Source organism: Homo sapiens, chromosome 20, assembly GCF_000001405.40.
Source record: "Homo sapiens chromosome 20, GRCh38.p14 Primary Assembly".
Taxonomy (NCBI): Eukaryota; Metazoa; Chordata; class Mammalia; order Primates; family Hominidae; genus Homo; species Homo sapiens.
The window spans coordinates 34,285,267-34,313,255 of NC_000020.11; the positions used below are offsets into that span (position 1 = coordinate 34,285,267).

Genomic DNA, 27,989 nt, shown 5'->3' on the forward strand with positions numbered 1-27,989 from the left:
GTCTCAGTTTCTTCTTCTGTCAATGGGGAGAATGACTTCTGCACTGTAGAGGACCCCATGAGGGCCTCTAAGAGGGCAGACAGGCAAGCACTTTATAAACTCTGGCAAGCCCTGTGTGGGGATCCCAGGATTAGACACGTGACCCTTGGCTTGAGGTAGAAGAATAAACCCACCTTCTTGGGCAGGAAATGAACCCCAACGGGGTACTTGTCTGGATGGGTCCACAGCTCGATCTGCGCCATCACCTGGTTGGTGAAGGAGTTACTCATCACGAAGCTGGGGTGGCCCATGGCACAACCCAGGTTGACCAGCCGACCCTCGGCCAGCAGGATGATGCGGCGCCCATTCTTCAACCGATACCGGTCCACCTACACGCAGGCAGGGCAACAGTGAAGGCAGGCAGGGCCCCGCTCCCACAGCCCACCCTCTGATCTGGCAGGCCTCTCTGCCTCCAACAGTGCCCATGAGGAGTCCGAACTGCTCCAAAACAACCTCCAGCACATGGCTTAGCACAAAAATAACAGCCAATATTTATTAAGAAATGTTGAGCTGGCCGGGGCACGGTGGCTCACGCCTGTAATCCCAGCACTTTGGAAGGCCGAGGCAGGCGGATCATGAGGTCAGGAGATCGAGATTATCTTGGCCAACACAGTGAAAGCCCGTCTCTACTAAAAAAAAAATACAAAAAATTAGCCGGGCGTGGTAGCAGGCGCCTGTGGTCCCAGCCACTCGGGAGGCTGAGGCAGGAGAATGGCGTGAACCTGGGAGGTGGAGTTTGCAGCGAGCCGAGATCGCACCACTGCACTGCAGCCTGGGCGACGGAGCGAGACTCTGTCTCAAAAAACAAAAAACAAAAAAACAACAAAGAAATGCTGAGCTGCAGACTGCACAGTTCTGCTGTGAGAACTTCACGTGCTCACACTTGCTTGGCGCATATGAGGCACTCAGTAAGCAGCAGCTAATGTTATCGTTATGATCACTGTCATGTGCCCTGTACTAAGTCCTTTACAGGTAACTACCACATTTCATCCCAGAAACAACCCTGTGATTTCAGTACTGCTGTCATCCCCATTTCAGATTCAGAAACTGAAGTTTACAAGGGTTAGGTCACTTGTCCAGAGCCACACACTAAGAGGAGGCTGCAATTTGAGTCTGGACGGTCTGAGGACAGATCCCATGTTCTCAATAACCATGAAATAGTTTTGAATGCAGCTTAGCAAAAGCTGAATGCCGTGGCGCTCACATTGGAATCACCTCAGAAGCTTTAAAAAATGAGGATACCCAGGCCAGACGCGGTGGCTCATGCCTGTAATCCCAGCACTTTGGGAGGCCAAGGCGGGGGGAATCACCTGAGGTCGGGAGTTCGGGACCAGCCTGAACAACATGGAGAAACCCTGTCTCTACTAAAAACACAAAATTAGCCAGGCATGGTAGCACATGCCTGTAATCCCAGCTACTCAGGAAGGCTGAGCCAGGCGAATCGCTTGAACCTGGGAAGCGGAGGTTGTGGTGAGCCAAGATCGCGCCATTGCACTCCAGCCTGGGCAACAAGAGCGAAACTCCGTCTCAAAAAAAAAAAAAAAAAAAAAAAAAGATACCTTGGCCTCATTCCCAGAGACTCCTATTCCTGTGGCCCACAGTGTGGCTCCCAGGTGACTGCCAAGGTTGAGAACTCCCGGTTTAGTGAGTGAACGTGACATGGAAATCCCCAGCCTCAGTGCCCCAGTCCTCCGTCTGTCCCAGCTGTCTGAACACACAAACTTGCTTTCTCCCCACTCCCAGCTCTTCCCTTGCCATCCCTCCACCCTCAGGCAGCCTCCCAAACATTTCCCCAAAAGCCCAGGTTTCCAAGCTGCTCCAGAGGCCTAGTACCGATCCAAGGAAAGGTCTCTGATGCCCATCAGGCATTGATTGATGCTTCAATCAATAAGCACTCACTGATACCCATCTAAGCCCCTTGCAGGGACACGTCAACCTGGACTCTACCCTCCTGGTACAACAGTGGGGTCAGAGACCAAAGCCAGTGATGGATGCTGCACTAGGGGTCTGTACTAAGAGTGTGGGCATTGCCTCTGCCAGAGGAGCTGGCCAGGAAGGGGGTCTCTTTTTTATTTTATTAATTTTTTTTTTTTTTTTTTTTCTGAGACGGAGTCTTACTCTGTCATCCAGGCTGGAGTACAGTGGTGTGATCTCAGCTCACTGCAACCTCCACCTCCTGGGTTCAAGCGATTCTCCTGCCTCAGCCTCCAGAGTAGCTGGGACTATACGCATGAGCCACCATGCCCAGCTAATTTTTTGTATTTTTAGTAGAGACAGGGTTTGACCATGTTGGCCAGGCTGGTCTCAAACTCCTGACCTCAAGTGATCCGCCTGCCTCGGCCTCCCAAAGTGCTGGAATTACAGGTGTGTGCCACCGTGCCTGGCCAGAAGGGGGTCTCTTGAGCTGGGCTGAGAAGATGAACAAGGAGAAGGGCATGTGTTCTGTTCCAGACAAATGCAGCTGTCTGGACAGATGAGCAGAAGTAGGAGCTGCAGTGGGTATTCAGGGAGTGGTCAATTATGGCCTGAGTACAGAGGCCCTTGAGAGGACGGACAAGAGATAATGTTGGGCAGAAGGTTGGCAAGACTGTCAAGGATGTTGAGGGTGGGCATAGAGTCCAGCTTTGGAGGGCAGCTTGGCAGAAAGGTGCCCATCACCCCAATGTAGCAGGTTTCACCTGTGATGCCTTTGCAAAAAGGAGGTCTAGACAGATGGCTGTCAGGGGTGTGGCTGCCACAGAAGCACGCCCTGGCCACCCCCACACTGTGATGAGTGCCAGGCCTTCTAGGCAGAGATGGAGGTGCCCTCTGCCTAGCCGGGAACTGACACCCTAGACTAGTGCAGGACCTAGCCAAGGAGAACTCCCACGCAGGAGCAGAGCACCCAAGAGGAGCAGTGTAGGGGATGTGGGTTCATAGAGCTGCCTGTCTGCCTCTCTGGGACTTGGGCTTCTGGTGTGGCTGTGACTGGGTGGGTGTCAGGGCTTTGGCCAACTCTGTGTCTGTATCTTCCTTATCATATCTCAAACACGGCACAGCACCAACTCAAAGAACCTCACATAGGTGGGCTTTTCTCCCTTTAAAAAATGTGGTGGACCTGGTGTGGCAGCTCACGCCTATAATCCCAGCACTTTGGGAGATAACTTAAGCTCAGGAGTTTGAGACCAGCCTGGGGAACACAGCAAGGCCTCGTCTCTACAAAAAATAAAAAGTTAGCCAGGTGTAGTAGTGCACATCTGTAGTCCCAGGTACTTGGAAGGCTGAGGCAGGAGGATCAGCTCCTTCAGCCCAGGAGGTCAAGGCTGCAGTGTGCCATGATCATGCCACTGCCCTCTAGCTTGGGTAACAGAGTGAGCCCATCTCAAAAAAAGAAAAAAAAAATGATGAACATCTCTACATACATATTTAATTATCCTAAGGACCAATTATAGGAGAGATTGCCCAGTCAAAGAGGTTGCTTAACTTTAAAGCTCTTGATATCCAAAGCCAAAATGTCTTCCAGAAACATACTACTTTTATAATCAGAGAAAAAAATAAACTCATAATAATTGCAACTCAAGTAAAACTTCACACCCCCTATAAGAACTCATCTTCCAGTTTCAGTGCCCCAATGCCCAATGCAAACCTGTTCTTTCCCAGCTCAGTGCATGGGCCTGCTCCTCACACAGTGATTCAAGCTGTGTCCCTTTTTGTTTTTTGTTTTTAGTTTTGTTTTTGAGATGGAGTCTCGCTCTGTTGCCCAGGCTGGAGTGCAATGGCGCAATCTCGGCTCACTGCAACCTCTGCCTACCACGTTTAAGCGATTCTCATGCCTCAGCCTCCCGAGTAGCTGGGATTACAGGCACCCACCACCATGCCCAGCTGATTTTTTTGTTTGTTTGTTTTTGAGACAGAGTCTCGCACTGTCACCCAGGCTGGAGTGCAGTGGAACAATCTCGGCTCACTACAACCTCCATCTCCCGGGTTCATGTGATTCTCCTGCCTCAGCCTCCCAAGTAGCTGGGATTGCAGGTGCACATCACCACACCCGGCTAACTTCTTGTATTTTTAGTAGAGACGGGGTTTCACTATGTTGGCCAGACTGGTCTCAAACTCCTGACCTCGTGATCTGCCCACCTAGGCCTCCCAAAGTGCTGGGATTACAGGCATGAGCCACTGTACCTGGCCTTTTTTTTTTTTTTTTTTTTGAGATGGAGTCTCACTCTTATTAACCAGGCAGGAGTGCGAGGGTGCGATCTCGGCTCACTGCAACCTCCGCCTCCCAGCTTCAAGCAATTCTCTCCTGCCTCAGCCTCCCAAATAGCTGGGATTACAGGTGCCCGCCACCACACCCGGCTAATTTTTCTATTTTTAGTAGAGATGGGGTTTCATCATATTGGTCAGGCTGGTCTCGAACCCCTGACCTCATGTGATCCGCCCGCCTCGACCTCCCAAAGTGCTGGGATTACAGGCATGAGCTACCGCACCCGGCCCAGCTAATTTTTTTGTATTTTTAGTAGAGACGGGGTTTCAACCATGTTGGCCAGGCTAGTCTCGAACTCCTGGCCTCAGGTGATCCGCCCATCTCGGCCTTCCAAAGTGCTGGGATTACAGGTGTGAGCCACCATGCCCGGCCAAAGCTGTGTCCTTTGTTACTCTGCCTCCATCCTGACCCCACATGCCGTCCATCCACCCCAGCACTCCCTAAGCTGAGGCTGCCATCATCCCCTGCAGGGATTCTACGAGCCTCCTCTAAAAGCCTCTCTCCCCACCACCCGCCATTGTTGCTTTTATTCTGCACACAGTAGCTAGAGTGATCTTTCTAAAACTACAGCCTCACCACATACAGCTCACCTGCCTGATACCTTCAGGGATGCCGGCTGCCCACAGGATAAGGTTGCCACGTCTGGCTGGCTCTGATGCTAGGCCCTCTTCTCCCCATCCCCCTGCACAGGTTGCCACCATCTCCTCAGCTCTCCTCCCTGGCAGCCAGCACTCCTCTGCACTCCCATCTGCCCAGCCCACTGGCAAGGCGGGAGCTTCTCACCTGCGGCTTGATGTTCACCTTCTCCACGGCGTTCTCGTTGAGCCACTTGACATCGATCTCCACGTCAAAGTGTCCAATGTTACACACAATGGCATCATCCTTCATCTGCTCAAAGTGCCTGTCAGGCAGCCCAAGACCGTGGGAGATTGTCAGGGACAGAAAGCTGTCCCAACTCTGCCCTCCTCCCTCACTCCCCGGGACCCCCCATCTGGCACCTACCGGCCAAGGATGATGTCAATACAGCCTGTGGTGGTGACAAAGATGTTGCCCTCCTGACAGGCCTCATCCATGGTGGTCACCTCATAGCCTGTGCAGAGACAGTGGCTGTGGGTCATCTACGGTGGCCTTGCCCCTCCCTCTGGCCCCAGTGGCTGACAACCAACCCTTGCCCTATCCTACCCTCCATGGCAGCCTGCAGTGCGTTGATGGGGTCAATCTCGGTGATGATGACGCGGGCTCCGAAACCCCGCAGGGCCTGGGCACAGCCCTTGCCCACATCACCATAGCCTGCTACCACCGCTACCTTGCCGGCAATCATCACATCTGTGGCCCGCTTGATGCCATCTATGAGGGACTCCCGGCAGCCATAGAGGTTGTCAAACTTGCTCTGAAAGGAAAGGGGGTAAGGAGACAATAGGGGCAGGCAAGGCCCTGGGGCCAGGACAACTTGGCCTCAGAGTATTCTGAAGAGCCCAGGCATCATGGGCCCACCAAGCATCCCGGCCTGGGCTGAACCCCTCCAGCACCCAATGCCCCCACAAGCCCTTCACCCCGATCGGCTCAAAGAGCTTCTCTCTAATCTTTCTCTGCCAGTGTGGAGCCTTCCTAGGCATCAGTTACTAGGAGAGATTGCCCGGTCAAAGACCTTGCTTAACTTGAAAGCTCTTCTTCCCAAAGCCATAAAGCTCCTAACACCCAGCTCTGACACCCCTTTTAAACGCACTCATTAGCCTGTCTATAACCGCTTTTGCCCCCTCAAATGAGGGCTTCATGTCCCTAATCTCAGCCTTCCTGGGCACTCTTCTTCAGAGGCCTCGTCCTGAGCTGCAGCCACTGTAGCGGGAGCTGTCACTGCCCCTCGGCTCACCTTGGTGACGGAGTCATTGACATTGATGGCAGGCACCTTGAGGATCCCATTGGCCATCATCTTGTAGAGGTTGTGGACCCCAGTCGTGGTCTCCTCAGAGATGCCTCGGATGCCTAAACAAGAGGGGACAGGACAAGCCTCAGAGATGCCACACCTGTGCTCATGCAAATTCCTCATCTTTACCCCCTAAAGCCATTCCTCTTTCTGGGTTCCCATCTCTGTGACTGATCCCACAGGCCCCCCAATCACCCAGACCCGCGTGAGGGAGGAGTCCCCAACGCCCTCCTACAGGGAAGCCACCACCAGGCCTAGTGACTCTGCCTCCGAACAACTCCCAGCTTCTCTATTCTCACTGCCGCTGCTCTAGTCCGTGACCCTGTCGCTTCTTCCCAGTCTCCCTACCACAACCCATCCTCCATGCAGCAGCCATTTCTAACATGTATCTTCTCAGAGAAATCTTCTCAACGCCCTCCAGTTATTTCCCCTTGCTCTGCAAATCAGGTCAAACACTTTTCTATTGGCCTATTAGGCCCTGACACATCTGGTCTTCACGAAGTTCACACCATACCCGCAGTGAAGGCTCCCTTTGCTCACTGCTATCCTGTGGGCCTCTTTTCTGTTTCCTGAACACTCCAGCCATTCCTGCCTCAGGGCCTCTGCACTCTGCGTACCTGCTTTGAACAAAGCTGGCTCCCTCCCAGCTATTCCCAACCATGGCCCTGTCTGTGCCTGCCCTTGGGCCATCAGCTCAGCTGCCCTAGCCTCGCACCCTCAGAAGTCAGGAGGCCCCAGCATGAATGCCAGAGCCTGCCATCCTCCCATCTTCCAGATCCTGCTGCTTGAGGTGATGGGAGTCCTGCCAGGCCTGCGGCCATCATGTGGGCAAACAGGCCCCACCCAGGCCACCAGCACCCAGCCCACCTGCCCCGCCCTGCTCACCTGGCAGAAGCTGCGGGTACTTGGTGTGGATGAGGTTGGTGAGGTCGCCCCCGTCGTCCAGAATCATGTTGAGGGGCCCGTCCTTGAAGTACAGGGTCTGCTCAATGCACCACAGGTACTCCTCGTCCGTTTCGCCCTTCCAGGCATACACTGGAGGGTGAGTGGCACATCAGGGCCTGGACTTCCCAACTGGTACCTGCTCCAGGGAACAACTCTGGCAGAGCCAAAACTACCTCCTTCCCAACTCCCATCCCCAGCCACCTCCGGCCCCTCTGAAAACTCAGCAGTGGTCAGGACACAACTTGGAGCCAGATAGATCTGAGTTCAAACCCTGGCTCTGCCACTTGCCAGCTGTGTGACCTTGGGCAAATCACTTCACCTCTCTGAGCCTCAGTCTTCTCCTCTGTAAATAGGGCTCACAATAGTATGGATTAAGTGAGACAGAAGCCATGTACAGCCCCCCGCCCCAGATATAGATATCAGGAAATCATTCTTTCCTTTCCCATCCCCTTCTGCCTGGGCGCCAAGGACTGAGGCATCAACCCTGAGTGACCAGGGCTTGATACCCCACAACGCCTCCCCCTCAGCAGGATCCACACGGCAGGATCCAGGGTTTGCTCTGCACTGAAAGGACTGGAGCACTAGCAGCCTCTGTGTGGGGGAATCTCAGGCAAAGTCTGGCCAAAAAATGACTACGAGCAGCTACCATGTGTGGGGTACTTGCTTTCTGCCAGACATGACTCTAAATCCTCCATACCCCATCTCATTCTTCCTCATAGAAACCCTGTGAGGCAGCCATGACCATTATCATCACTTACAGATGCCCAGAGAGGAGCTAAGACGCACTTGGGCCACTCTAAATGAAATTCCAGAATAGACACCAGAACTGAGGGCTACTGACCACCAGCCCACACTCCTCCCATGTGGCATGACTAGGGCACAGGTGTGGGGTTCCCAGGAGCCTCTTGTGAGCAAAGGACGCTGGCCAAGCAGAGCCAGCTGCTTCTACCCACAACTGGAGCAGACAATAGTCTTAAGAATTGCAGTGAGCCAAGATCGCACCACTGCACTCCAGTATGGGCAACGGGGCAAGACTCTGTCTCAAAAAGAAAAAAAAAAAAGAAGAAAGCCACGGTGCCAAGGCTGAGGAATGGGGATCATGCCCATTCAGCCCTGGTCAGTCTGTGAAGGAGTGCTGTGCCACCCCCTCCTGTCCACCTGTGGTTGGTTAGAAGCAATCTTGAATGTCCTAATCACTGGGTCAGATCTAACCACTCCCCTCCCCAAGTCCAAGCAGACATGTGCCCAGCCTGTGAAAACTCCATTCTCGTTAGACTTGGTCCTTCCTCAGTCCTTTAGACCGCCATACCCTAGGCAGTGAACCTCTTTTTCTGCCCCGTAGCCCTCCCCAGTTCTTTGGAAAGAGATCCACATCCTTCCTTTAATGAACTTCCCCTCCGCTTCATCATGTAGTTCCCAATCATAAGATCTTGCTCTTCCTGGTTACACGGCTTGACCTGGGTCAATAAACAACTTCCACAGGATTTTAGATGATGATGGGACAAAGCAGCTCTTTCCTGTGGGGTCGCTGGGCTAGGATTTTGTGGCGGTGACTCCTCTCCCTTTCTGATATGTAAGGAAGTCTGTTGCTCTAGCAGTCAGTGAAGCAAAGAGGGCAGAATCCCTTCACAAATTCCACGTCTCAGAAGCAAGCAGGACTTACCCGGAATGCCAGCCTTGGCAATGGCAGCCGCCGCATGGTCCTGGGTGGAGAAGATGTTGCAGCTGGACCACTGCACCTAGAAGAGCCATCAAAACAAGGCTGTTGGTCACTGATGGCTCAAAAGCACCAGGGACGCTGGGCGAGGAAAAGGGAGAGCTTCGGGTAGTGGGGAGAGGCTTGGGATCTAGGCACAGCAAGCTCTAGGATCACAGGCTGGGGATGCTGGGTGGGCAGATGGGAGCCAGAGCAGGGGCGAGATCCAACTCAGGTTTTAAAACCTCACTCCAGTGCTGTGTGGAAGGGAAAGGGTGGAAGCAAGGGGACAACTGCAGAGACTGTTGGAGAAGACTCCAGACAAGAAATATGACAGTAGCAGTGGAGATGATGAGAAGTTGTCACATCCTGGGTCTACTCTGAAGGCTGCACTGACAGGATTTGCAGAGGGATGAGTTGTTGGAGTAAAGGGAGTTGGGAGTGGGGAGGAAAGGGAGGGGAGGAGATGACTCCCAGATTCGTGAATTGAGAGAACCCAGAAGGCTGGAACAGAGGTTCCATTTACTCAGGTGGGGAAGGCTTTGGGAAGAAGAGGGGGCAGAAAATCCTGAGTCTGTTTGAACGCGTTCTGCCTGAGATGAGTACTAGACCTCCAGGGAGCGTCAACGCCCCCGCTCCTGGATATGCCAGTCTTGAGTTCCAGGAGAAGTCCAGGCTAGTACAAAAATGTGACAGTCATCACCAGATAGTGTCTAAAGCTATAAAATCAGACCGCCAAGAGTGAATGCTGAAAAGAAAGAAGAGGTCCAAGGACTCAGCCCTGAGCCCCTCTGTGGATTTTGGCTCCATTGCCCTACCCTGCTTTGGGAAACCAGCTTGCTTCTTGACTCTCTGAGACCTTAGGAGAGCTGTTAATCATTGGCACACATGACCCAGGCTGAACCAATCAGAGCTGCCATCATCCAGCAGCCATGATGGGTCCAGGGTAGGCCTGTGACCCCCGAAGGGCCAAGGCAAGCTGGCCCTTAAGAGACTAAGTAGGACATGGGTGTTGAATTTTTCCTGCCAGAGCATCCATCAGGAGGATGCCTTGAGGGTAGCCAACAGTGACCTTCCCAGCCAGGGAGAAAATCTGCAGAACACTCACCACAAGGGGTGGCAGCACTGGGAAACGGAGGAAACCGAGTGAGAGGGAGGAACCCCTCCAGGCCCGCGGTCAGCTCCACACCTGGAAGGTCCCCACCCTGGCACAGTCGTCTTCTTCCCTGGCTGAACCCAGGGAGGGCAAGGACTCTGGGGTGATACAGCTGTGGGCCTCACCTCAGCACCCAGGGTGACGAGGGTCTCAATGAGGACGGCCGTCTCCACGGTCATGTGCAGGCAGCCAGCGATGCGGGCGCCCTTCAGTGGCTTGGAGGCCGAGTACCGCTCCCGCATACGCATCAGGCCCGGCATCTCGTTCTCAGCAATGTCCAGGGCCTTGCGTCCCCAGGCAGCCAGGCCGATGTCGGCTACGGGAGGAAACAGGTGGGAGTTCCGTGAGTCCCCTCATCCCACCAACCAAGAGGGGCGGTCACTGCATGGACCCCGATCCACGTGTGGACTCAACACACTAGGGCTTAGCACTCTGTCACCGCATTCTCTCACTCATGCAACAAGTATTTATGAAGCCAGAGTACTCAAGAAAGACACGGTCCCTGCCTACCTGCACCTTTCTGACTTGTGGGAGAACACATTTAATCACACAGGGACACAAAAATTACAACATAAAGAAGCGTCCCTTTGAAAAATAGCTCACATGATACTTCCCACTACCCTGCCTTTCTGCTGACACCTACCAACCTCCAGGCCACTCCTCACTCCCTAAAGACTCCCTAAAGATGTTAGCTGCTGGTTCTCCATCTTCCTCTCTCAGTCATCACTCTCGGTGATTCAACACTTATAAATACTATCTAACATTTTGGATTTGACAGTTCCTTGATCTCCTTTTAGATGTAAAAATGCTTCCCCACTCCTGATGTTTCTTTCCACCTGGAGGAACTCATCCGTATAACGAATGCTCTTGGCCTCTCTGCCCCAGGGGAGGTGGGGTGAGCTTGTCTGACCAGTAAAACTGAGAGGAAAAAATGGTGTGCTCAGCTTAGCTCTCCCTTCTTTTTGCAAGCAAGCACTCACCTGCCCACTTGCAGGAAGCTGGTGTTCTCTGCTTTTCCAGAGACCAACCTACCCTGGCCCACCTTGCCTGCAACTGATTGGGTAACTGCTGAATCTGGGGGTTCAATAAGCAGGATCATTTGGATTTCATATTAATCTATATCCTCTGGCTTTGAGGTTATTAGTAATAAAAGGTAATATTTCAGGTGTTGCCACCTAAAATACTAATCTACATCCTCTGGCTTCATGGTTACTAGTAACAAAAAGTATTTCAGGTGCTATCTGCCACCTAAAATGTCTCGAATTTGTTCAAATTCTCAGGCAGGAAAGAAGGATATTATTATGAGCTAACTCACTATCTCAATACTCTCCCCTACCACACTGGTCCACTTCCAAGGTCATACCCTAGGTCAGTCCCTAGGTCAAAGTTTGCAGACTTCCCCGGTAAGGGATGTTCCTCTGGCATGCTTGTAAATCTCCCCTGGAAAATATGATTCAGCAGGTCTAAGACTCCTGGTGATTTTTATCTTTAGGGAAGCTGAGATCCTGCCAAACACCCAAAGAGGTAGGCGGTGGGAGGCAAAGGACTCTGTAGAGAATTTAATAATCTAAGAATTTAATAATCAATAAAATTGTCTGTCAGTCAGCTTCCTACAGTGCATTTTAACAATTTCAGAGATGAAACACGCCTCCCGCATGAGAGACCACTCCGGCTGTGCCTCAACTCAAGCCACCCACCCCAGCCCTCCTACCCTAGTAGGCCATCACCAGTGATAGCTCTCCTTGGAAATCTGGACTTCAAGCACCCAACTCTAGCCACGCCTCATCTTTCTGGTTTTCTCCTTCCAGAGGCCAAGCTCCAACAAGGCTGTGGCCTGTCAGGTGAGAACCTCTATTCAATTCATCCTACCAATTTCTAGTGTCCCTTCTACCCCCTTTCCCTTTGAGAACTCACTTGGCAAAACTCTCAGCCCAATTAAACCCGACCCTCCACTGCACCGGACCCACTGAACCCAGCAGGAGGACAATCACAACCCCACCAAGACATCATATTTAATTAATTAATTAATTAATTATTTTAGAGACATAGTCTGGCTCTGTAGACCAGGCTGGGGTGCAGTGGCGCGATCTCGGCCCACTGCAACCTCCACCTCTCAGGTCCCGGTTCAAGCAATTCTCCTGCCTCAGCCTCCCCAATAGCTGGGATTACAGGAACTCGCCACCATGCCCAGCTAATTTTTGTATTTTTAGAGGAGACGGGGTTTCACCATGTTGGCCAGGCTGATCTTGAACTCCTGGCCTCGTGATCCACCTGCTTCAGCCTCCCAAAGTGCTGGGATTACAGGTGTGAGCCACCACACCTGGCCAAGATATCATATTTATTAAGACCATAAAAGACACATAGCACATTGCAGCAATCCTATGACATTTTCCTAGTAAATTTACTCCCATTTTCTACTCTCCTCAACCCTCCAACACCTTTCCCCATTGAATGACAATCTCACTTCCCAATTCACTGAGATGAATTCAGAACCAGGCCACTTTTCCCCTATGGAATCCACTAGTCACCTATAGCAGTCATCTACAGCTTCAGACCAGGCACTCTTTCCTGTTACCACAGATGAGTTGAATGGGCGCGGTGGCTCACACCTGTAATCCCAACACTTTGGGAGGCCAAGGTGGGCAGATCACTTGAGGTCAGGAGTTCAAGACCAGCCTGACCAACATGGTGAAACCCCGTCTCTACTAAAAATACAAAAATTAGCCGGGTGTGGTGGTGGGTGCCTGTAATCCCAGCTACTCAGGAGGCTGAGGCAGGAGAATCACTTGAACCTGGGAGGCAGAGGCTGCAATGAGCTGAGATCATGCCACTGCACTCCAGCCTGGGTGACAGAGTGAGACTCGGTCTCAAAAAAATAAAATAAAATAGATGAGCTGTCCTGTGGGCGGCAAGCCACCCAGGCACCGAGGCAAGAGACAGAGGACACGAGCTGTTCCAGTATAATAAAATATAAAACAAGAATAGTTATACTAGATATAGATCTTATATATGATTATATATGAATATCATTAATCATTAGTTTGTAGCAATTACTTTTTATTCCAATATTATGATAATCCTTGCTCTATAATCATAGCCTAGGAAAAACCAGGCCATACAGAGATAGGAGCTGAGGGGACATAGTGAGGTGTGACCAGAAGACAAGAGTGCGAGCCTTCTGTTATGCCCGGACAGGGCCACCAGAGGGCTCCTTGGTCTAGCGGTGACGCCAGCGTCTGGGAAGACGCCCGTTACCAGGCGGATCGTGGTCCAGCGGTAGCAAAAGGTGTCAAGGAACAACACCCGCTACTTAGCAGACTGGGAAGTGGCGGCGGCGGGAGGGGGGGGGGTGTCTCCCTTTCCCCAGGGGAGTTTAGAAAAGACTCTGCTCCTCCACCTCTTGTAGAGGGCCTGACATCAGCCAGGCTCGCCCACAGTTATCCAGAGGCCTAACCATCTCCCTGTGATGCTGTGCTTCAGTGGTCACACTCCTAGTCTGCCTTCATGTTCCATCCTGTACACCTGGCTATGCCTTCTAGATAGCAGTAGTAAATTAGTAAAAATACTAATAGTCCCTGATATGCAGAAATAATTGCGTAAGCTGTCTTTCTCTCTGTCTCCTCTCCCTCCCTGCCTCGGCTGCCAGGCAGGGAAGGGCCCCCTGTCCAGTGGACACGTGACCCACATGACCTTACCTATCCTTGGAGGTGACTCACATTCTTTACCCTGCCCCTTCTGCCTTATATGCAATAAATAACAGCGCAGCCCAACATTCGGGGCCACTACCGGTCTCCGCGCATTGATGGTAGTGGTCCCCCGGGCCCAGCTGCCTTTTCTCTTGTCTCTTTGTCTTGTATCTTTATTTCTACACTCTCTCGTCGCCGCACACAGGGAGAGACCCACCGACCCTATGGGGCTGGTCACTACACTATCCCTGCTCCATGGGGCCTGATTCCATATCCCCTCTCCTCCTTAAGGACTTCCATACTCCACTAAAACTGCTCTTCCGTCCAAAGACCAGCCTGATCTCCATACCTGATGCAAAATTACCTAAGACCATGTTTCTACCAGCAGCACAGATTGCATGAATGACTTGCCCTCCTTCCTGAAACCCTTTCTTTACTTGGCTTCTGTGACTGTCCTGTGCTTTTCCACCTACCTTCCTGGTTCCTCTTTAGCTAACAGACTTTAGGGTTTGGGGGCCCTCAGGGCTCCATCATCTCCCAGTTCTCTTATGTTTACCAATTAAGCTCATCCAGTCTTATGGCTTTACATACCTTCTCTACGGGGATGACTCCCACGTATTTATATCCAGCCCAAACTACTCCCCTGAACTTGAGACTCGATGTGATCCAACTGCCTCCACAGCACCTCCACTTGGATGTCCAGTTGGATCTATTATGTGTCATGTTGGAGTCCTCATGGCTCCTTTGCCCCCACTACCGGTTACTCTCCCAATCTTCCCATTTTAGGAAATGAAACCACCATTCAACCAGCTACTCTGCCCAAAAACTTAAGATTTGATTCCTCTTTTCCTCTTTCACCTCAATCAGCACGTTTTTGGCTCAACAAGTGAAATATATAAGCAATCCAACTGCATCTCACCACCTTCATCTAAACTGTCACTTCTCAGGCTGGGCGCGGTGGCTCACAGCCTGTAATCCCAGCACTTTGGGAGGCCAAGGTGGGCGGATCACCCGAGGTCAGAAGTTCGAGAGCAGCCTGGCCAACATGGTGAAATCCCATCTCTACTAAAAATACAAAAATTAGTTGGGCGTGGTGGTGGGCACTTATAATCCCACCTACTCAGGAGGCTGAGGCAGGAGAATTGCTTGAACCTGGGAGGCGGAGGTGGCAGTGAGCTAAAATAGCACCACTGCACTCCAACCTGGGTGAGAGGGAGACTCTGTCTCCAAAAAAAACAATAAAGAAATAAATACACTGCCACTTCTCAGTTGGACACTGCCACACTCTCTTCACTGGTCCCATGCTCTAACATGCCATTCTCCCCACAGCAGCCAGAAGAGGGAGGCTCTTAAAAATTTAAGTTACATCACCTCCATCATTCTACTAAAGTAAACAAAACTAAACAAGCAAACCCTCCAATGGCTTCCCTCAATCTTCGGGCCCTATCTGCATGACTGCCTGCCCCTCCTCCATCTCTCCACTTTCCCCACTCACTAGCTGTTCAACACACAGGCTTCCTGACTGACTTCAGGCAAGCTCCACTCATTTCCACCTCAGGGCTTTAACCCAAGCAGTTCTCGGCCTGGAAGGCTCCTCTCAAGCACCTAATACAGTACCTGGCACACAGTAGGTGCTGAAAAAAACCTGGAAACAGGAAAGAACCTAGTATATCCCTGCTAGAGGAACCAAGAGTGCACCAGGGTGACTCAAATAGAGGCATAAGATGAGTTGGGACTTCAGTCCCAGTGAAGTGGGGAACCTACAGTTTTCAGGGGCCAGCATTCAGAGACCAGATTTGTCTTTTGAAAAGACCCCATTGGCTGCTGTGTGGATCTGCGGAGCAAGAGATCCAGGGAGACCTGCAAGGAGAGAGACCAGACTGGGGTGGTGACCGTGGAGACAGACAAGTGGCAGATCTGCTCACATAAAATGGAGACAATACTACTTTATCTGTATGCATGTCTGTGCCACCCCTGTCTCTGGGTCACCTTTGTGTCTCCAGCATGACCTGGCTCAGAGAAGGGGTCAGCAACTGTTTACCGACCATATCTGTCCTCAGAACTGAATGAAAGATCCATGAGAGGGGCTGGCACGTGACAAGGGTGGCAAAGAAAAACAACACAAATCTGAACCTAGTCTGAGTCCCAGCATTTACTAATGACCCAGAGAGGACCCAGAGAGGAGTTTGCTGCAGGTTCCATAGCCAATTAACCGCAGAACCAGAACTGGCAGCCAGGCAGGGCTAGAGCAGAGGCCCCTCTCAAGGCCCCTCCTGGGAGGGGCCCGGCTGTATGGGACAATGGGTTATGCCCTGTGCTGCTAAGCTCCACCCCTCCACCACCACATGTCCCTCCAGCTAAAAATAACTCCTTCAGTGCCCTCGAGGACACTGTGCCAGCCCCACAGTTTTCCCTGGGACCCTCAACTCCAAAGGCACAGGAGAGGCTAGATGCTGCAATCTCTGGAGCTAAGGACTTGCAAAAGTCACAGGAACACCTGTCCCCAGGACAAGCCAAGAGGAACAGCAAGAGCCCCTGTAAACATCAGTTTCTTCATCTGTAAAGTGTGGATAATCATCCCTAGCTTGCTATGCGCCTTAAGTAAAGATAATGCCATATGATCAAGATCTGGCATACAGCAGGGCCTCCTTCCTCCAGCCCCACCCAGCTAAGCTCCCCATCCCCAAATCCAGCTTTATCTCCACCCACACAACCCAATGGCCCCAATCCTGACCCACTAATCTCTCCACAGTATGACAAGCCCCCATTCCAGCTCTACTATTGATGTGACCTTCACATAACCTTTCTGGGTTCAGTTTCAGCATCCACACAATGGAGACAGTCTACTCTGGTAGCAACTTGATGAACTACTTCAACAGAATCTTTGCAAGTCACCTCCCAAGGGCCTCAGTTTCATGCTCTATATAACGGGATTACGTCCACCTCTATGAAGATTATTGTGTAAACACACGTAAATCACCAGATATACAGCAAGTGTTTCCATAAATGTGGATGGCATTCTCCAGACTTAATAGTGTCTTTTTTTGTTTGTTTTTTTTTTTTGAGACAGGGTCTTGCTCTGTTGCCCAGGTTGGAGCGTGGTGGTGCAATCTCGGCTCACTGCAACCTCCGTCTCCCCGGCTCAAACAGTCCTCCTGCCTCAGCCTCCCGAGTAGCTGGGAATGAAGGCGCCCGCCACCACGCCCAGCTAGTTTTTGTATTTTTGGTAGAGATAGCGTTTCACCACGTTGGCCAGGCTGGTCTCGAACTCTTGACCTCAAGTGATTCGCCCACCTCGGCCTCTCAAAGTGCTGGGACTACAGGGGTGAGCCACCACACCCGGTCCAATAGTGTCAAAGTTACTTGAAAAGCTACCAGCCAAACTGAACTGGTTTTTGCTGAAAATTCACTAGGATTGTTCCGCGTGTATTCGCTTGCACACAGTGGTGAAAGGGTGCGCTCAGAGATCTAGATGGCCTGCGTTCCAATCTTGCTCCATCACCACCAGCTGTAAGACTGAGGGCAAGTTACCTCTGCCTCAGGATTCTCATCATAAAATGAGAACAGTTTCCCTATAGAGCCATGAGACTAGAATAAAGCTAGAAGGCAGTGCCGATCCCACAGGAAACACTAAGTAAACGTTAACTATCCCTGTATTACACTTCAATCGGTGGGACAGCAGGATTTTTCAAACCACTCCAAATTTTCTTCGAGATTTCTGCAAGGCTGCCCCTGCTGGAGGGGTGGGGGACCCCACAGGTTGGGTAACTGGCCCAAAGTCCCAGGGGAGAGGAGGATCGGAGCCGGCCTGGGGCTCGCTTTCCAGGCCTCTCCTCATACACCCTCCGGGGTGCCCTCGCCGTCCCTGTAGGAGGCCCAGAGAGGGGTGGACGCTCGTCGGGGCCGCCCAGCTGGACAGGGTCCGGTCCAGGCCTAGGAGGCCGGGCGCAGGCCCCCCGAGCAGGGTCCGGCAGGTGCCAGCCGTCCCAGGCCGTGGCCAGGTGTGCTCTCCCGCGGAGCACGCCGCCAGTTTGCGGCTCGCAGACCGCGCGGCGGCCCCGGCGTCGCGGGGCATGCTGGGACTTGTAGTCCACGGCCACCCGGAACGGCCCGCTCATGGCCGCGCGAGAACTCCAACTTCCAGCTGGCTTCGCGCGGCCAGAAACGCGCCGAGGCTGCGATTCCAGGGGGTCCAGAGAGCCCCGAGTCGGCCCTGCAGCCCCCGCCACGAACAAGCCCCGGGCGGGTGCCGGGCGGCCGCAACCGGCTGCAGGTCCTGGGACTCACCGACTTTGTAGGGCAGTTTGTCAGACATGCTGGCGGCACTCGTGATGGAAACGGGCGAAGGGGGCTGGGCCTCAGTCTGGGAACAGGAACTGGGCGGGCAGCGCCGAGCAGGGATATGCGCGTGGCGCCGACGCCTTTAAATATCTTCCTCGCACTTGCATATTCATGACCCGCTGGGGCGGGGCCCAACGCGCAGGGCGGAGCCGGAGGGGATTTCGATCCCTGAAAAGAAGCCTCAGAATTTCACAAGGCGTGGCCCCAGGAGTCTCACTCACCGGTCCGGAAGGGAGCGCCGGGAGAGGCCTGAGAGCCAGCCGGGCCGTCCTCTCGCTGGTTCAGCCAGTTGATTCAGTGTCAAAACCCAGCGGAACTGAAATTCCGCCAGTTCACTTCCCTGTGCCTCAATTTCCTCATCTGTAAAATGGGCCAAATGACATCTGCCACACAGATTATTATAAGTAAAGTTGCAGGCCAGGCGCGGTGGCTCACACCTGTAATCCCAGCACTTTGGGAGGCCAAGGCGGGAGGATCGCTTGAGCCCAGGAGTTCAAGACCATCCTGGGCAACACAGTGAGACCTGAACTCTACAAAAAAAAATTAAAAATTAGCCGGGCGTGGTGGCGCGCGCTTGTGGTCCCAGCTACTTGGGACGCGGAGGCGGGAGGGAGGATCTTTTGAGCCTGGAGATCGAGGCTGCAGTGAGCTATCATCCCACCACAGCACTTGAGCCTGGGCGAAAGGGCAAGACCCTATCTCAAAAAAACCAAAACAAAGTTAAGTTGCCATTTGTCAGGTACCTACTGACATCCCAAACATTCGCCTTACTCCAAGTAACCAACACCCTGAATTTAAGTAAGTTTGCATACATTTCTTATACTTTTACTGCATCCGTATATCATTAAATAGTTCTGTGTTTAGCACCTTTATATATCAACCGTATTTACCCTTCTGCAACTTGCTTTTTTCTGTGAGCATTATATTTATGAGACTCATGCATATAGCTTGAGTATATTCATTTTTGCTGCTGTATAATTCAGTCATCCCAGGCATGGGAAGGGGAAATTGGTTTCAGGACCTCTGTGGACTCCAAAACCCTTCTATGTTCAAGTCCCTCATATAAAATGAGGCAGTATTGGCATATAACCTATGCACATTCCTCCGTACACTTTAATCATCTCTAGATTACTTATAACTAATATAATGTAAATGCTATGCAAATGGTTGTTTTGTAATTTGTATTATTTTTATAGTTATGTTTTTTTAATTGCTTTTTTTCCCCTGAATTTTTTTTTTTTTTTATGGAGTCTCACTCTGTCGCCCACACTGGAGTGCAGTGGCACCATCTAGGCTCGCTGCAACCTCCACCTCCCGGGTTCAAGCAATTCTCCTGCCTCAGCCTCCCGAGTGGCTTGGATTACAGGCACGCACCACCACACCTGGCTAATTTTGTTTTTTCTTTTTTTGAGATAGAGTTTGGCGCTTGTTGCCCAGGCTGGAGTGCAATGGCATGATCTTGGCTCACACCAACCTCTGCCTCCCGGATTCAAGCGATTCTCTTGCCTCAGCCTCCCGAGTAGCTGGGATTACAGGCATGAGCCACCACGCCTGGCTAATTTTGTATTTTTAGTAGAGACGGGGTTTCTCCATATTGGTCAGGCTAATCTCGAACTCCCGACCTCAGGTGATCCGCCAGCCTCTGCCTCCCAAAGTGCTGGGATTACTGGCGTGAGCCACCGTGCCCGGCCTCTACTCATTTTTTAACCTAAAAATGAGAAAAGAATTAAACTCTTCTGGCCGGGCGCGTGGCTCACGCCTGTAATCCCAGCACATTGGGAGGCCGAGGCGGGCGGATCACGGGGTCAGGAAATCGAGACCATCCTGGCTAACAGGGTAAAACCCCATCTCTACTAAAAATACAAAAAAAAAAAAAAATTAGCTGGGCGTGGTGTCGGGAGCCTGTAGTCCCAGCTACTCGCAAGGCTGAGGCAGGAGAATGGCGTGAACCCGGGAGGCCGAGCTTGCAGTGAGCCGAGATCGCACCACTGCACTCCGGCCTGGGCGACGGAGGGAGACTCTTGTCTCAAAAAATAAAAAATAAAAATAAGAATTAAGGTCTTCTATGACATAGTAAATGTATTGGTCTCACTTGATCTGTACATCTGACCTCTGTCTGAGAGTCATGAGGGCCGATGTCAAGCAGAGACTTCCTGAGGGAACGAGGGTCCACGCCTGGGAGGTGGGCAGCAGGGTCCTCACGCATCCCTTTCAGCATTCTGCAGTGCATTGCAGTGTGTAGTGAGTCGTGTCAGTCTAACTAAACGTAGGATCATGTTACTAGGTTGTCCTACGAGAACAGAAAAATGGCTTCAAAATATTCCTGCAAAGAAATGGCAAGTTCCAGATACTGTGAAAATTACCAGCACAGCAAACAAGTAGAAAAGGACACAGCTGACAGGTCTCTTTCTGGTATGAATGCTGGTCTTTGTCAGCCATGTTGTAAGGAATGTAATAAAATTTGAGAAAACAATGAAAAAGACACTTTGAAATATGAATTTACGGACCAGGCGCAGTGACTCACACCTGTAATCCCAGCACTTTGGAAGCCGGGGCGAGTGGATCACTTGGGGTCAGGAGTTCCAGACCAGCCTGGCCAACATAGTGAAACCCTGTATCTACTAAAAATACAAAAATTAGCCGGGCGTGATGGTGCACGTCTGTAAACTCAGCTACTCAGGAGGCTGAGGGACAAGAATTGTTTGAACCCAGGAGGCGGATGTTGCATTGAGCCAAGATTGCGCCACCGCACTCCAGCCTGGGTGACAGAACAAGACTGCCTCAAAAAAAAAAAAAAAAAAAGAAAAAAAAAGAAATGTGAATTTACATGCCCTCTCATTAATTAATGATGACTCTCATCCTCACTGTATATCGTGCTTTGAGATATCAGCTAATGAGATATTTGCTAATATTTGTACCGTTAAGTTCATATGAACAAAACTTTGGAGACTGCTGGTCTCAGGAGAAGGTCTAAGCACCTTAGTCTGGCCTTATGCAACCTCTCTAGCAGCAGAATGTTCTAGCCTATGGATATATTGCAATTGATATAGCCAATTTCCTATTATTTCAGCTTCTTTTTTTTTTTTTTTGAGAAAGAGTGTCTCTCTGTTGCCCAGGCTGGAGTGCAATGGTGTGATCTCGGCTCACTGCAACCTCTGTCTCCCAGGTTCAAAGTGATTCTCGTACCTTAGCCTCCCAAGTACCTGGGATTACAGGCACACGCTCCCACACCCGGATAATTTTTGTATTTTTAATAGAGACGGTGTTTCACCATGTTGGCCAGACTGGTCTTGAACTTCTGACATCAAGTGATCCTCCCGCCTTGGCCTTCCAAAGTGCTGGGATTACAGGTGTAAGCCACCACGCCCAGCCAGGTTCTTTTAATGGATGAACAGTTAAACAAATTGGTACAGCCATACCATGAAATAATACTCAGCAAAAGGAATAAACTTTGATAAATGCAGCAACCTGGATGAATCCTTAGAGAATTATGCTGAGTGACAAAAACCAATTCCAATATATTACATAGTATATTATTTCATTTCTATAATATTCTTGAAATGACCAAATTATAGAAATGAACCACAGATTAGTGGTTGCCAGGTATTAGGTAGGGGACGGGAGCAAGAGAGAGGTAAATGTGGCTGTAAAAGGGCAACATGAGGAAACTTTGTGGTGATGGAATGTTCTGGATCTTGCTTTATCATTGTCAGTATCCTAGTTGAGATGTTTTATTATGGTTTTGCAAGATGTCACCATTGGGAGAAAGCGAGCAAAGGGCATTGGGATTTCTCTGTGTTTTCTTTGTTTCTTTTTTCTTTTTCTTTTTTTTTTTTTTTGAGACAGGGTCTGCTATCTAGGCTCACAGCAACCTCCACCTCTCCCAGGCTCAAGCCATTCTCCTGCCTCAGCCTCCTGAGTAGCTGGGATTACAGGTGCATGTCGCTACCACCCGGCTAATATTTATATTTTTAGTAGAGATGGGCTTTCGCCATGTTGGCCAGGCTGGTCTTGAACCTCTGACCTCAAATGATCCACCTGCTTCAGCCTCCCAACATGCTGAGGTTTTTTTGTTTTTTGTTTTTTGTTTTTTTTGTCGGAGTTTCGCTCTTGTTGCCCAGGCTGGAATGCAATGGCAAAATCTTGGCTCACTGCAACCTCCTCCTCCCAAGTTCAAGCAATTCTCATGCCTCAGCCTCCTGAGCAGCTGGGATTACAGGCACATGCCACCGTGTCCAGCTAATTTTGTATTTTTAGTAGAGATGGGGTTTCTCCATGTTGGTCAGGCTGGTCTCGAACTCCTGACCTCGGGTGATCCGCCCGCCCTGGCTTCCCAAAGTATTGGGATTACAGGCGTGAGCCACCGTGCCCAGCCCCCTGTGTTTTCTTACAACTGCACATGAATCTACAATTATCTCAAAATAAAAGGTTTAATTACAAATGATAATGTTCATTGTTGGTGAGTGTATGGCAAAGTTTTGTCACCCATTAAATTAAAAAAATTTTTTAACTTTTATTTTAGTTCAGGGGTACCTGTGCCAGTTTGGTACATAGGTAAACTGGTGAGTTGGGGGTTTGGTGTACAGATTATTTCATCACCTGGGTACGAAGCACAGCACCTAAGTTTTTTTTTTTCTAAACCTCTCCCTTTTCTCACCCTCATCCCTCAAATAGGGCCCATGTCCATTGTTCCCTCTCTCTGTTGATGTGTTTTCATTATTTAGCTTCCACTTATAAGTGAGAACATGCTGTATTTGGTTTTCTGTTCCTGGGTTAGTTTGTTAAGGATAATGGCCTCCAGTTGCATCTATGTTCCTGCAAAGGACATGATCTTGTTCTTTTTTATGCATGCATAGTATTCCATGGTGTATATGTACCACGTTTTCTTTATCCAGTCTACCATTAATGGGAATTTAGGTTGACTCTATGTCTTTGCTATTGTGAATAGTACCTGTTAAATTTTAAAAGATTTGGCCAGGTGTGGTGGCTCAGGCCTATAGTCCCAGCACTTTGGGAGGCCAAGGCAGGTGGATCACTTGAGGTCAGGAGTTCAAGGCCAGCCTGGCCAACATGGCAAAACCGCATCTCTACTAAAAATACAAAATTAGCCGGGCATGGTGGCATGCACCTGTAATCCCAGTTACTTGTGAGGCTGAGGCAGGACAGTTGCTTGAATCTGGGAGGTGGAGGTTGCAGTGAGCCAAGATTATGCCACTGCACTCCAGACTTGGTGACAGAGAGAGACTCTGTCTAAAGAAAAAGAAAATTTTTTTTAAGTATTTGAAATCCATAATTATACCCAATTTTGGAGAGTATCAAGACTAGGAACCAAATTTCTGAAGGGTAATTAATTTGGCAATTTTTTTTTTTTTTTTGACACAGAGAGTTGCTCTGTCACCCAGGCTGGGGTGCAGTGGTGCGATCTCTGTTCACTGCAACCTCCGCCTCCCGGGTTCAAGCGATTCTCCTGCCTCAGCCTCCTGAGTAGCTGGGATTACAAGCACCCACCACGATGCCCAGCTAATTCTTATATTTTTAGTAGAGACGGGGTTTCACCATGTTGGTCAGGCTGGTCTTGAACTTCTGAGCCCAGGTGATCTGCCTGCCTCGGCCTCCCAAAGTGCTGGGATTACAGGCGTGAGCCACTGCGCCTGGCCAATTTTTTTTTTTTTTTTTTTTTTGAGATGGAGTCTCCCTCTGCTGCTCAAGCTAGGGTACAGTGGCACACTCTCAGCTCACTGCAACCTCCGCCTCCTGAGTTCAAGTGATTCTCCTGCCTCAGTCTCCCAAATAAGTGGGATTACAGGCATGCACCACCACACCCGGCTAATTTTTGTATTTTTAGTAGAGACAGGGTTTCACCATGTTGGCCAGGCTGGTCTCGAACTCCTGACCTGAAGTGATCCACCTGCCTTGGCCTCCCAAAGTGTTGAGATTACAGGCGTGAGCCACCACGCCTGGCCGGATTTATCTATTTCTATCTATTAGTTTTTGCTTCACATATTTTGCAGCTCTGTTTTCCATACATACACACTTCGGAGTGCTATGTTTTCTTAGTGGATTGACCTTTTATCATTAATAATGAAAATGAGCCAGGAGTTTTGGTGCGCCCTGTAACTTCAGCTACTTGTGAGTTGGAAGGATCGCTGGAGCCCAGGAATTCAAGGCCAGCCCGAGCAATATATTAACAGCAAGACCTCCTCTCTTAAAATAAAAAATTAGGCCAGGCACAGTGGCTCATGCCTGTGATCCCAGCACTTTGGGAAGCCGAGGCTGGCAGATCACAAGGTCAGGATTTCAAGAGGAAACCCCTGTCTCCACTAAAAATACAAAAATTAGCCGGGCGTGGTGGCAGGCACTTGTAATCCCAGCTACTTGGGAGGCTGAGGCAGGAGAATCGCTTGAACCCAGGAAGGGGAGGCTGCAGTGAGCCGAGATCGTGCCATTGCACTCCAGCCTGGGCTACAAGAGCAAGACTCTGTCTCAAAATAAATAAGTGAATTAATTAATTAAAGAAAGAAAAAAGAGAAAAGAAAAGAGAGAGGAGGAGCAGGACAGAAGGAAGGAGGGAGGGAGAAAAGGAGGTAGGGAGGGAAGGAGGGAGGGAGGAAGGAAGGAAAGAAGGAAGGAAGGAAGGGAAGGAGGGAGGGAAGGGAAGGAAGGAAACAATAGAAGAACCATGGAGGTGGAGGGGTGCCTTCTTAGTGCCAGGTTGGGGGTGAAAGTCCAGGCTCCCTATGTGGCTTGGGGAAATTGAATGATGAATTTTTTTTTTGAGACAGAGTCTCACACTGTTACCCGGGCTGGAATGCAGTGGCGCGATCTTGGCTCACTGCAACCTCCACCTCCCAGGTTCAAGCGATTCTCCTGCCTCAGCCTCCCAAGTAGCTGGGATTACAGGCGCCTGCCACCACGCCCAGCTAATTATTTTTATTTTTATTTTTAATAGAGATGGGGTTTCACTATGTTGGCCAGGCTGGTCTTGAACGCCTGACCTCGTGATCCACCTGCCTTGGCCTCCCAAAGTGCTGGGATTACAGACGTGAGCCACCATGCCCGGCTGATTAATTTTATTTTTAAGTTTACTATCACATGGATAAAAAGTTTACAGTTTAATAACATACTATTGGTAAGAGTGTGGGGAAACAGGCCTCCTCATACTTTGGTTTTGGGATTGTACATTGGCACAACCTTAATGAACAACACTCTGGTAATAACTAACAAGATTACAAACCCGCATGCCCTTTGACCAAGCAGTTCCACTTCTAGGAATTTATTCCAAAGATGTTTGTACACATGAGCAAAATGACGTTAAGAACAAAAGACTGTCCTTCCATGGAAGACTTGTTAAATAAATATTGGTACAGTCCACATGATGGAATATGCAGATAGCCATTTTTTTGTTTAAATGAGCTGTTTATCTAACAATATAGAATGATCTTCAAGATATGGTGGCCCAGTGCGATGGCCCAAGCCTGAGGCCTAAGCGCCACTGCACTCTGCCTGGGCAACAAAGCGAGACCCTGTCCGTATTTTAAAAAAACGACAGTCGGGCGTGGTGGCTCATGTCTGTAATCCCAGCACTTTGGAAGGCTGATTCGGGCGGGTCACCTGAGGTCAGGAGTTCGAGATCGGCCTGGCCAACATGGCGAAATCCCATCTCTACTAAAAATACAAAAATTAGGCGGGCGTGGTGGCACACACCTGTAATCCCAGCTACTCAGTAGGCTGAGGCAGGAGAATCGCTTGAGCCCGGTAGGTTGCAGTGAGCCGAGATTGTGCCACTGCACTCTAGCCTGGGCAACAGAGTGAGACTCTGTCTAAAAAACAAACAAAACAACAACAACAACAAAACCAACAACAAAACATATAATGAAGGACAAAAAGCAAAGTGCAGAACGGTGCGCCTAGTATGCGATTATTTATGTAAAAGAAAGAAAAGAACACACAAACAGGTATTTGCCTATACATGCAGAAAATATACCAGGCTGGATGTACAAGAAACTGCTAACAGTGCTTCCCTGGGGATCCCCGCCCACGCCGCTGAAAGCTGCCCTGGACGTTAACTGTTGATGTCCCTTCTCCAGGTCCAGGCCCCAGTGGAGCTTCTGGCGGGAAGGTCGAAACCCCAGGCAGAAGCAGGTCCCGGTCCCTCCTCCCGACCTTTGTACCTGCCTTTTCCGTGTTTGCTTTTGCAAACAATTAGGTCCTGGGCGCGGAGGGGCGGAGAGGGGGCGGAGAGGGGGCGGAGGGCGCACAAGCCTGCCCTTTGGCCGCGGGGCTTTAGCCTGCCCTAGCTTCAGCATCCCCGCTCGCCTCCCGGCGGTCCTGCGTCTCACTCTGGATTAACTGGAGGCTTCGAGATGGGATAGAGAGGGGTGCAGGCGCTGAGAAAGCCCGCTGATGGGGATGGAGCCGGATTAAGCAGTTCTGTGGAGTTCCTCCCTTCTTGTCCACCCCGCTAGGGGTCTCTCCTTTCCCGCTGTATCCACGCCCCTCCCTCCAGGCCCCCTGGGCCCACCTCGAAGTCACCGCTGGGCTGGGGAGTACAGAGGTGGGGGACTTCTTAGAGACCCTGGGACAGGGCCCCCCTCTCTCCCTCAATCCTTCTCATCCCACGCGGCTCCGCTGTGAGTCGGGCGTCCCAGGAGCTGCCGGCCCACCCATCCGCGGGTTTCTTCCGTTGGGGGAGCCCTCCAGACTCGTAGAATATAAGAGAGCGCCCCTCCCTAGCCGCGGGCCATCTCTAAGCGACAGGCTTTAAGAGGCACCCCGAAAGGGGGATGTGAGGTGGTGTGGTTCTATATCATTATATCGAAATCATCTGATTATGTGCCTGTCCCATTACTTCCAGGAGGGACAGAAACCTGTATGGCTTTGCCAGCTGCTGTGTCCCCAGGGTCCAGCTCAGTGCCTGGCACACAGACTGCACACAATATTTGGGAATGAATTAATGTTCCCAGATGTCTGCCCCGGAACCCACGCTGTGGTGCCCCTTGGCTTCAGCCCACAGTCCTGGCTCTCCTCAGGGTGGAGCCAGGGAGTCCCCTAATCCAGGTCTCTGACGTCCCCCGCTGAGGCTGGATCGTTCCCCAGTGGGGCTGGATGGCCTCTGGGTTCACTTCCCAGCCTTGTCTGAGCTTCCACGCCCCTTTTATCCTAATATTTGCTAAGAGCCTCGTCCAGGGACCTTAGGAGTCACACAGCCAGGGGTTCTGCCCCTGCCCTTCATTTCTCAGATGATAGAAAAGCAAAAGGAACACTCTGAGAACTTGTAATGGGGAGGAGTGGGGGGTTGGTCCAGTCTGACGGGGCGGGGGCAGGGTGGGAGACGTCCTTGGAGCGAGATCTGAGGCAGAGGAGCTCAGTCCACAGAAAGGGAGCACGGGCTCCACGCTGCAAGAGTAGGGAGCTGTAAGGTGCCCTCCCCAGACGGCTCCATTTTGCCCACCTTCCTTTGCGGATAGCACCCCTGGACCTCCGAGGTCAGCCTGTGCCCTGCAGCTGGAGTCGCCCTTGACTCCACTGTGCCAGGAGAGGGCACCCTGCTCCCAGCTTTGGCTTCAGACTGCTGCAGTGCAAACTCTTCCCTCCAGGGGCAGGATTTGGAGCGCTGTGATGATAACCTCCCAGCTGCCCTGGGAGAAAGCAAAGTACAGCTTATCGCTCCCTCCCATAGGAAGAAACTGAGGTTCAGAGAAGAGCAATGAATGTTGCTAGTAAGTGGTCTTTGGACTTGTTTTGAAGGGGCTTTAGCCCTTGGAAGCATTTGTCGGGATGTTTTTGTTCTGTTCTGTTTTGTTGAGCCAGGGTGTCACTCTTGTTCAGGCCGGAATGCTATGGCACCATCAGAGATCACTGTAGCCTCAAACTCCTGAGCTCAAGCAATCCTCCTGCTTCAGCCTCCCCAGTAGCTGGGACTACAAGCATGCATCACCACATCCAGCTTTTTTTTTTTT

General features: G+C 51.0%; 1 protein-coding gene across 9 annotated transcripts in view, besides 4 other annotated features; it reads right to left on the reverse strand.

The window, feature by feature from the left end:
* AHCY (adenosylhomocysteinase) overlaps positions 1-26,570 on the reverse strand; it is a 79,856-nt gene extending 53,286 nt beyond the window's left edge. For 4 of the 9 annotated variants that reach the window (XM_047439962.1, XM_017027709.3, NM_001362750.2 and 1 more), the window contains exons 1-9: positions 17,977-18,089; positions 10,129-10,319; positions 8,815-8,890; positions 7,092-7,241; positions 6,153-6,265; positions 5,465-5,672; positions 5,285-5,372; positions 5,066-5,183; positions 174-368 (exon numbers count right to left, since the gene is read on the reverse strand). In XM_047439962.1, the coding sequence (XP_047295918.1) occupies positions 174-368; positions 5,066-5,183; positions 5,285-5,372; positions 5,465-5,672; positions 6,153-6,265; positions 7,092-7,241; positions 8,815-8,890; positions 10,129-10,319; positions 17,977-18,004 (1,167 nt within the window). In that variant the 5' untranslated portion in view covers positions 18,005-18,089. The other 5 variants (XM_011528659.2, NM_001161766.2, NM_001322085.2 and 2 more) reach the window with 5 other exon arrangements.
* Positions 17,464-17,693: a silencer, noted in NCBI's record as "silent region_12833". NCBI's record gives its function as "represses an Ori minimal core promoter by ATAC-STARR-seq in GM12878 lymphoblastoid cells {active_cell/tissue: GM12878}" and the evidence as "EXISTENCE:reporter gene assay evidence [ECO:0000049][PMID:35858748]".
* Positions 18,264-18,313: an enhancer, noted in NCBI's record as "active region_17759". NCBI's record gives its function as "activates an Ori minimal core promoter by ATAC-STARR-seq in GM12878 lymphoblastoid cells {active_cell/tissue: GM12878}" and the evidence as "EXISTENCE:reporter gene assay evidence [ECO:0000049][PMID:35858748]".
* Positions 18,334-18,453: an enhancer, noted in NCBI's record as "active region_17760". NCBI's record gives its function as "activates an Ori minimal core promoter by ATAC-STARR-seq in GM12878 lymphoblastoid cells {active_cell/tissue: GM12878}" and the evidence as "EXISTENCE:reporter gene assay evidence [ECO:0000049][PMID:35858748]".
* Positions 26,332-26,930: an enhancer, noted in NCBI's record as "H3K4me1 hESC enhancer chr20:32899404-32900002 (GRCh37/hg19 assembly coordinates)". NCBI's record gives its function as "activates a minimal SCP1, AML or CMV promoter by ChIP-STARR-seq in naive and primed H9 embryonic stem cells {active_cell/tissue: H9 hESC(naive and primed)}" and the evidence as "EXISTENCE:reporter gene assay evidence [ECO:0000049][PMID:30033119]".